Raw genomic sequence first — 10170 nt, forward strand, 5'->3', positions numbered from 1 at the left:
CTCTTTAAAGATTTCTGTGTATGTCTTTCTGCCTCGGCATGCATTTCCCGGGAGCTCTGGTGCATAGCAACTGAATTAGCATCCAGGCCTGCTTAATTAATAAAATGAACCCTGCGTACATCTGCAATCCTTCCAAACAATTTCAGCATTTCTCTCATTTCTACATGGAATTCAGCCTGTTAGCACAAAAAACCATGGTGCACCAAATGCTTGTTTTATCCTTTGAGAGAAAAATTCTTTAAAATACAGGTTGTTTCGGCTGAGACCTTTCAGGAGTTTCTTCTTCTGAACTGTGCTCACTCTGCCTGGTATCTGGGAAACCCCAGGCCTAGCACAAAATAGAGGCCTAATATTTGCTGAATAAACTGTGACCTTGGGTCTGTTGCTTAATCTCTCCCCGAGCCTTAATTTTGCCATCTTTAAATAAAGAGAATAATACCACTCCTGTAGGACTGAAGTGAAGATAGACACAATATATGTAAAACATGCAATACATTGTAACTGTGAAGACATTTAGCACTTTACATGTCAAAAACCACTGAAAAGGAATAGAGACCTGCCTGTTCATCCCAGACCTGCCACCAAATTGTTGGTTGACCTTCAGAACATCCCCAATCTTTCTATCTTGTTGTAGAGACACTGACACCGGTGACTTCAGGATTTTTCTCTAACATTACATGAGATTATCCAGGTTGAAAAGTAGGAATTGTTATTCAATTTCTATAGCTCTGGGATCAGTGTGCTTCCTCCATAGTTAAACTTTTCTTGCTCTGGGAACTGACCCTTTTTAGCTATCAAATTGATCCATGTTTTTGTAAGAGCTCACCTTGGTCCATCTATACATTTCATCTCCACCTGAGTCCAGCGCCAGCACGCCAAGCCCTGCCGGGGTCTCACAGCCCCCCTGAGAAACACAAACATGCCCATGTTCATAAATAAACACTGTTGTCCTTCTTGTTTTTTTTTTTTTCCTAGGAATTGCTACACACGAGTTCCCTTTTCTGCACCTCAGTCTGTGGAGGCAGGGCTGTATTTATTTATTTATTTTGCTCGTCCATTCTCCTTGAAGGCTATTTCCCTCTCGTCATCTTTTGGAGCTGTCACCCTTTGTAGATCATTCTTATTAAGCATTAACTTGGTGAATGGATGAGCATCACTTGGGAACAGCTCTGGGATATTACAAAACATAAAGCAGTCAGTGCAAACATCTGCAAAATTTGGCAATCCACTGTGGTTTCAATGAGCTAGGGGCCAAGTCCTTGACAGGCCTTGAGGTCCTTAGAGAACACTGCACAGGAAAGATTTATTTGCGGAAAGGGTGAGAAATGTCACTTTGCACTTCAGGTATGAGGTGGAGGTGGTCAGCGTTTGCAAGCATGAGTCACTGTCTAATCTTAGCCTTCATGGGTGTTGGCTAAGCTGCCCTCACCCCATTCCAACAAGTCCTTGTAATGGCTTTGAAAGAAGCTTAAAATCCAGGATCACTTCTGGAAGGAGATTTGAGGAGCAGGTGCCATCTCTGGGCCGGGCTCCCTAAATCTCTGGGTTCCAGAGCTTGTCCTCCCACCACCTGGGTGCTAACAGGAGCTTGCATCCCACTCTGCACAATCGAGTGTCTCTGAGGCCAACCAACGCTCTGGGCCCCAGCTTCGGCACCCCTTCTGAGGCGACTGGCCAGCTTGGGCTGTCGAAGGTGGGAGGCCCTGACGTACACCACCAGCCCGCTTCCCCAGCCAGCAGCCACCGAGGCCTCCTGTGCCCACTGACGAGCAGTGACATTTCAGCGAGTGAGCCGGCTGAGCCTCCTCCTGGAGTCCCCAGCAGTGCCACGGACACTCGCCTGTTTACAGAGCATGACTTTGCTTCTTGCTGCCTCACATCCTCGTTCAGCGCAGGGAGAGCAAGCAGGCCCCTTTCCCAGCAATTCCTGGATTCTCCACAGAAACTCCACAGTGATGCTGCTTGGGTTTCATGAAGGGGATGCTGGTATTTGGACCTTTCTTCTTTCCCTGGGCTTTTAAGGCAATGTCTCATGCTTCTAAGATCATTTTCCTCTGAAGGTTGGACCTTGAGATATTGGATCCCCATTTATGATCATGGATAAAACATTCCCTCCAGTTTCGGAGTATGTACTTCAGAGCTGAGGAATGTTTTCTGTACTTTATAAAATCCCATATGCGTTGAATAGCTAATATTTAGCCATCACTACAGGGCCACATGGTGACTTTCCCGGGATCTAGGCAATTTTGCTTTCATGGGCTCCTTCCTCTGTTCATTAAATAAATACATATTTGTATTTGTAAGGGGTGCCAGTGCAATTTTTTTACATGGATATATTGCCATAGTAGTGAAGTCTGGACTCGGTACATCTATCACATCAGTACATTGTACCCATTCAATAGATATTGTTTTTATGACTGTGTTGATATAAGACAAATATAATTCATGGTGGGTTTATTATTATTATTGTATTATATTCATCATTTTCTTCTGATTTTAATGGAAAATAAAAAACACTTTTTGTTTTGTTTTTGTTTCTTTTGAGACGGAGTCTTGCTCTGTCGCACAGGCTGGAGTGCAGTGGTGCAATCTCGGCTCACTGCAAGCTCTGCCTCCTGGGTTGAAGAGATTCTCCTGCTTCAGCCTCCCGAGTAGCTGGGACTACAGGCATGTGCCACCACACCTGGTTAATTTTTGTATGTAAAATAGAAAACACTTTTGGGGGCCCTAAAATTGTCGTGGGTCCTGGGCACTTTTTCCACTGAGTCTGTGGGGTGAGTCAGCCCCTCGTAGAGGCTGCCCGTATTCTTGGATTTGGTCTTGCAGCCTCACCAGGAGCCCAGAGGTTCTCAGTACCTGCACTGCAGCACCAAGCTGGTTGCAGTTTTCTATTCCAATTAGCAATGTCCCATGGCTTGGGTTCGTGTCTGGTTTATCTTTGAATCCCATCCTCACTTCTATACCTTCTGTAGATATTCAACAAAAGTTTATGGAATTAAACTGAAGTTCTAAGATAAAATTTCACAGCCACATCCCAGGAAGGTTTGGGGAGTCAGCTAATGACACTAACTAGGGACCACACGCACACAGTGCCGTGAGATCATCCAGAAGACAAATGATGGTGCTGGTTCCTTCACAACCACGTGGTGGAGACACACCAGGGGAAAAGCCTTCTGCTTAGGCCACGGATCTGGAGCCATCAGCCTTTCCTTGACCCCCAACTGCAAGTTCCTCCATCTTTGTTTTTCGTTTTTTGCTTGTGAATTAAGGTGATAATAATAACAGCAACCTTGTTAAAAAGAGGATGGATGTGAAGATATTAGGACACCACATGGGACACAGGGAATATTCAAGATGTTCGTTCACTATTTTCAGTAGTATAATCTTGTCCTGTATCCGTGTTGAATTATCACCTACATCTTAATGGCTATATTTCCAGAAATTTCTGCAATCAGCTAATATAGTGTGTGTTCAAAATCGAACTCCTTTTCTTATATTGAAACACATAAGGTGTGTCCTTTTCGCCCATGCTGTAAGCTGTTTGAGGACTGAGGCTTTGCCTCTTGTTTTTGTTCTCTCAGAGCCTAGTAAATTCCATTTATGGGGGCAGGTGTGACACAGATACACCGTGAGGCTCCCAAGGGACTGTAGCCTGAAGGATGTTACGTGGTGGATTTAACCACAGAAGTGAAGTGGTGTTTGGGCTTGTGGCTGATGGGTTTAGCTCAAAATTCTATGGATAGAGGCTTTCCCACCAAGCTATAGCATATCTACCCCTTTGCTGCCTCAGGGACTTGCCGTAAAGAGAGACAGGCGCAGGCTGGGGCAGCGGATGTAAATCTGGAAGCATACTTTCTGCAGCACCTATTGGAGCCACACACAAACTGTTCTATGAGCAAACTTGGAACTTCTGCAGAAATAAAAACTATGGACATCTTGATATGGTAGAATAACATTTTTGAGATTTTATTGGAAATAGTATTAACCGGTTTTGAAAATCTCTCCTGGTAAATCTTCCTTCTTTTCTCTCACCTGCTCTGCTTTGCCTCAGGGTGAGACAGCGCAGTTGTGAAAATCTAGAAGGCAGAGGGGAGCTGCCTCTACCTTGGCTTCCCGAAGCCTCGACCCACTAAGCTATCGTCAGGTGCCTCCAAGGCAAACCAGAAAGTACAGGAAGTTTCTCTCAGGGAAAAACCTCAAGAATGGAAAAGAACTTCCTCCACTGGTGTCTAGAAAAAACATGCTCCTCAAGACTGGGAATTAAATCCCAGGGAAGCTGGCTGAGGGGGATCCTGAACATTTTCCTGGACAGAGTCCTGAGAAGTCAAGACCCCAGAGAGGGTTTGCAGGTGGTGCTGAGCCTCATGGGAGCAGCAGAAAGAACGTCACCTCTGCATCTCAGCGCAGGGCAAAGAGAGCCTCATGCCTGTGGACAGGCTCAGCAGATGCCCCGGGGGGGGCCTCCATGGACACAGGACTCAGGGACCACATTTCCTCCAACCTCCTTGCCACAACACTAGTCAAGTTCCTGCAGTTACAACATCACCCTGGGAAAAATGGGGATTGGAATCCCTGGTTAAATGGAAAATGTGTGTCTTTCACTCAGGTAGAGTAGCACCTTGAAACAGAAATTAACTTACAGAAAAAAATGGGAAAAGTCCTATTTCTAACACTATGGAATTTGTGGTTGACACTCATTTTGGCCACAATAACGAAGACCCATGCCAAAGATGTGAGCCCCAGCAGAGACAAGCCTTCCGGATGGCCAATGGCCTGGGACCGGAAGAGGACATAGTATCTCCACGGATGACAGAAGAGTCCTTTTGATCACACTGCCTGAGTCTCTTGTGAACAAGAATAAGAACTTGCAAAAACTCCTATAGTAAATGATAGAGATGTACTTCTCTTTCCAAAGTACCAATCATTTCAAACAAATTCTCTTGGCAGCTTGATAAAGATTTGAGTTAAAGAAGCCCTCCAAGATTGCTTTATCTATAACAGTCAGGACTGGGTGAACGCTACCTGGCTACTACAGTCAAGATTTTGGGGCCCAATGTAGGTACAACCAAATGAGCAGTCTCTCTATGTGATGAAGAATGCTGCACCAGTCTGGCTTATTTCTGATTCATTTTGTTGCTGGGCACATACCAGGTGCTGAGTAAATACCCACTGAATGAATGAATGAATGAAGCCTTCTTGATTGCCCTGGGCCAATGAAGTCTGAGCCTCTCTGGAGCCCTTTGTTGCTCTGGGGCAGTAGAACTGCTTCTCGATTGGCAGGGCCTCATGCAGCCAAGCTACTGTTGATGATTCTGGCCCAGGTATACTCAGACGTTACAGAGGACTGGCTGGATGACGTCCTTCTGGGCTGAGTCAGACAGTGCCTCATTTTATAAATGACTGGAGTACAGGTATATTCCCAGCACAATGCCTGGCTCATGTTAGGCGCTAAACAAATCTTTGATGAATTAAATGGTCATGTGCTAAAATCATGCCAGATGAACCTGATGGCTGAATGAATGAATGAATGAATGCAGAAAAAACTTCGCATCCGTCAAGGGGCAGTAGGTTGGCAATCTCTGATCTGGGCTACTTTTCACAAGGTGCTTACATTTTTAAAAACTCCCATTTCTGAAGTTTTTGAATTTCCAGTGGGAAACTCTATGTCAAGCAAGCCAGCGTGGCTAGGACTCCCAGGTGCTCAGGCCAGAGCACAGGCTGGTTCCCCGGCGCGGGGCAGTCCTCTGCTCCACAACGCACTAAGGTGCAAAAAGTGGGATGGTGAGGAGATGGGAGGAGTCTCTGATTATGCTCAAGAGATGCCTGAGGGTCGGAGAAGAATCCTGGAGCTCAGCAAACAAAATGCAGCCTAGCAGATAATGCAGGCTGAGTTGGCTGCTCCTTCAAGTTCGCTGGGGGGCTGGAAGAGGGATCCCGTTGGTCTTCCGGTCCAGTCCCTGGGGACTGGGATGATGCACGGGTGCCCTCTGGTGGTCTTCTCACCAAACTGCAGGCTCTGAATGCACGGGGGTCTCTGGCTGGGGAGTGGCCTGTCCACCCAGAGGACCAGCATCACCTGTTAGGGAAAGAAAAGAATCAATCAGGGGCAGAGGAGCCAGAGCGCCTTAATTAAGTGCCTGACATTGTGGAATGTCTTCTTAGTAAGCCTATGCCCGGTTAGTCTATGTGGATTGATTTTGTGATTACATCTTGAAGTCCGGCCGCCAGGAGCCTTGATAAAATCTTTACATCTACATTAATCAGGAAAACCAGGTAGACCCCTCGGAGTACTTTCCAGATGTGTCCGGCAGATGAAGGCCTCCACGAAGATCAGTGTTCTCGGGGTCGTCATGAATTGTCAGATCCAGTAGCCAAAAGGGGCTGAGCAGCAAGAGTGGGGGAAGGAGATCAGGGGTGGGGCTGGCATGGACATTTGGAGACCTTGCTGAGAACCCAGCAAAGCCAGGCTCTGTGGAGGGGCCACAGGCCTTCATCCCTGAGCTTTCAGCAGAGGGACACCCCCTCTCTCGAGAGTGGAGAGATGGGGTCCACACGCAGGCCACTGCCAGCTGACACTGAAGAATCTTCAGGATTCTCCCAGAGAACTGGGAATTATTTCACATATTAGAACTTATCCTTAGGGGGAAAACCAAGGCTCTTTTCATCCCCATATGCAGACAAATCATCCCATGAAGTAATACGTCTTTTAAACATGTATGTACCAGGTTATGTGTTAACATGATATATTTAACCAAAGGGATGTTAGAAAGCAGGGAATTGCATGGTTCACAGGTGGATAAGACATGTAGGTAGATGATGTCTCTCACCAAAAACCACTTGGATTCAGGATAATAATGATAACCAAGAGTGGTGGCCTATAGTCCCAGCTACTCGGGAGGCTGAGGTAGGAGGATCTCTTCAGCCCAGAAGTTCAAAACCAGCTGAGCAACATAGACAGACCATATCTTGGAAAGGAAAAAAAAATACACACAACAACAACAACAAAAAAAAAAAAACCCAAAAACGATTTCATATATTGGGTCCTCTTCAAGAATCTGGAGAAGGAAACACTTAATCCAGAGCCCAAACGATCATAGAGTTTGAACTGTTTCATCATAAAATTACAGCTTATGCCCCTATGGGTTCTTTTGTTTGTGCCTCTACAAGTGACTAAAACAGCCGTTTAAATATTGTGGATGCTTATTTTTGCAAAGGCAAAAAGCATGGGTTAAGCATGCTCCACTTACAATAATCACTCACCCATTCAACGGGTGACAAAGCTGAGGCTCTTAGGATGTGGCTGTGTGTTTCACGATAACTGCAATGAGGAAGGACAAAGCGAATCTAGCGTCCCTACATCCTTTCACAGGGAGAATGCTTCGCTGGTGCCCCCTGAATGCACAGCCACAGCAAGCACACTTTCTTCTGGCTTCTTGGAAAAGACAGGCCGCGAGAAGTGATTTCTGAGAAAAGCAATACCCCTCAATGAAAAACTGGTCATAAAACATAAAAGAGGAACTGCCCTCCTCTCACCAACAGTAATGTGCCTTCTACTGTATCCTGCCTTCTAAAGGCTTCAAATGGTAAAAGAGCCGAATTTGAAACATTTGCTGCATTGAGGCAAAATTGAGCTTAGCCAGGATCTTTATGGCTCTTATAAATATTTATACTTAATAACATCTGGGCCTGAGCTTTAGTTTCTAAGCTCACATTTGCTCAACAAGTCTGGTTGTGTGTGTGTGTGTGTGCCTGCGTGTGTGTGTGTGTAAATGAGAAATGAGTTTCAGGAGGATATCTTTAGTTTGGTATTTTTGTTTTTATATTCGTTTCTCTTAGCATATCTTATAAGAGCCAAGCTAGGGTTGGTTTGATTTATTCATTTTACTACTAATCAAAAGGCACGAAGTGAAGGAGGATGGGAAAAAAGGGCGAATGGAAGGTGGGAGCTCTCTTAGGACCAGCTCACACAGCTGAGAGTTGCGCAAGTATCTGCAAATGTCAGGCCCCCAAATCTACTTTTGCCTGAATTCTATGATTGGCTGTCCCAGAGGTCCTGAATTTCCTCTAAATAATTGCATAATGTTCTCACTTTGTTTTAGCTAAGATGACTTAGTCATGAGAATCAAACAAATGTTGTCGAGTTCTTCATGTTTTCCAAAAGCTTTTCAAGGACTTGATTTATTATTTTTGAGTAGGTCAAGATCAGCCACGTTTGCATAGCCAGAGAGCAATTATGTCTTTTGAACTTAAAGGACAAATATGAGTGAATGCAAATGAAGTCAGCCCTCAATTTTCTGCACTAGGAAAAGCAAGACGATTCAAAAAATCAGTGGTATTTGGTTTGGAAATGGGTTTGTGCTTTTAATCAAATCCAGTACTTTTTAATTTTGTGGAATTCACTTTCAGGAAGGAAAGGAACCTTGCTTTGAAGGACTGACTTGGAGCTTGGAAGCGCTTTTCTTCTCTCCTCTTCTCTTGTTTCTCAATGAACAAGAAGAAGGGGAGAAGAAGGCTTCCTTGCCAGCTTCAAAGGTTTTAGGGAAAGCTGTACTGCCCTTGTAAATACCTCTGCCGCAAAAACAGCAGTACAATTCATTTTGCAAGGGGCTCCCCAGCAAGGATGAACGTTGCAGAAAAAGCAAGTGAATACTAGAAGATCCATATGTCAGTAAAGCAAGGAATTAAAATGTTAGTGTTTCCTGCAGAAAGAGTGAGCTGTCAACTTGGAAAATAATTAAATGGTAAGTGCTGTCAAAGAATTTGAAAGATTTGCCTGAGGTAAACCAAAATGCAGACAACTGATGCATAGGATAACACAGCAGATACACACGGCTAGATGCCAGGGAGGATATTTTGACATAGACAAGGGAAGTGACTAGTTCAAGGTCACTTGGGAGTTAAATTCCGCAGCTTATCTCCCTGTGACTGTAGTCCCCTGGCCGCCAGTACTTACGTTCCGTTGCCTTGTATTGTTGCATAAGCACTTAGCTTTGTTTTCTGTTCATCAGTGCAAGTGTGATGCTACCAATTCCATTCTTAGCACCAGACTTTTCTGACTCTAAGCTCCCTCTGGGTGTCAACATCGTCTCCCTTGAAAGCAGAGATAAGCCTACACTGTGTTATTAGAAGCAAAGGGTTTGAGAAAATGTTTTTTCCCCACCCTCAGCTCATCCTCCAACATGTGATTGAAAGTGAGAGTGAAACAGAAGATAAATGTCCTCCTCCTTGACTTGGAAGTTGGTTTTTGTCCAAAGGTAGAAGTCTTTGGAGTGAGATAGCAGGTAGAATTACACCTCATTTTCCTAACGATACAGGCACTATAATAACCTTGGAAAAGTAATCCTCAACACGATACCCATAGGAGTATTTCTAATAAGTAATTTGAAATCATATAACATTCCTGCTGTGGTGCAGTGCAAGGGAACCATGAGGAGATTAGATTTATTTTCTCATGTTTTTCCAAATGAGGCCGAGAGGCAGGAAGAGGGGCATCGCCTACTTAATACTAATACTCTGACATTGTGTGACTATGTTCTTAGGCCCAGATCCAAATGGTGCTCTGGCTGAGAGAAACCAAAGCTGAAAGCTGAGAACCATCAATCTCCGAAGCTGAGCTTTTTCAGATGCTTTCTGAAAACTGAGTATGCACATGATGGCTGGTGCATCCTGCGATTTCTAAAGGCTGGGGACTCTGGGAATGCACTGATGAAAAGCAATCCCAAAAGGAATCGACAAAACCGAGTCTTTGAAACAGAGACTCAGATTTCAGGGGTAAAACAAATGATTGTGTTTAATATAGAAGAAAGCAAATGCTACTTTAATTTGTTAGTTTCACAAAAATTCATTATGCCAGAAGGAGAAGGGGATAGAAAAGATTTCTAGTCTAGCATTTTAAGTATAACAAAAATAAAATTTGTGAAATATGAGTACGAAGTATCAGGTGGAGGAAAGAGTTACATGAACAGTTTTCACCTTTAAGTCTTGACGATTCTGTTAGGCATGCTCACTTAGAACCATAGCTACCATTTTGGGGCACTTACTGGAGATCAGACACTAAATTAAGTATGTACCTGATGAGCATTATCTTGATTGATCCTGATGACAATCCTGAGAGGCAGGAGCGAGTATTCCCATTTTCCAAATAGGAAAATTGAGATTCAAAGAGGTAAT

At 44.4% G+C, this 10170-nt stretch overlaps 1 annotated feature.

The window, feature by feature from the left end:
* Positions 5276-5776: an enhancer, noted in NCBI's record as "H3K4me1 hESC enhancer chr13:36294554-36295054 (GRCh37/hg19 assembly coordinates)". NCBI's record gives its function as "activates a minimal SCP1, AML or CMV promoter by ChIP-STARR-seq in naive H9 embryonic stem cells {active_cell/tissue: H9 hESC(naive)}" and the evidence as "EXISTENCE:reporter gene assay evidence [ECO:0000049][PMID:30033119]".

The sequence above is a fragment of the Homo sapiens genome, chromosome 13 (genome assembly GCF_000001405.40).
Source record: "Homo sapiens chromosome 13, GRCh38.p14 Primary Assembly".
In the NCBI taxonomy this organism is placed as follows: Eukaryota; Metazoa; Chordata; class Mammalia; order Primates; family Hominidae; genus Homo; species Homo sapiens.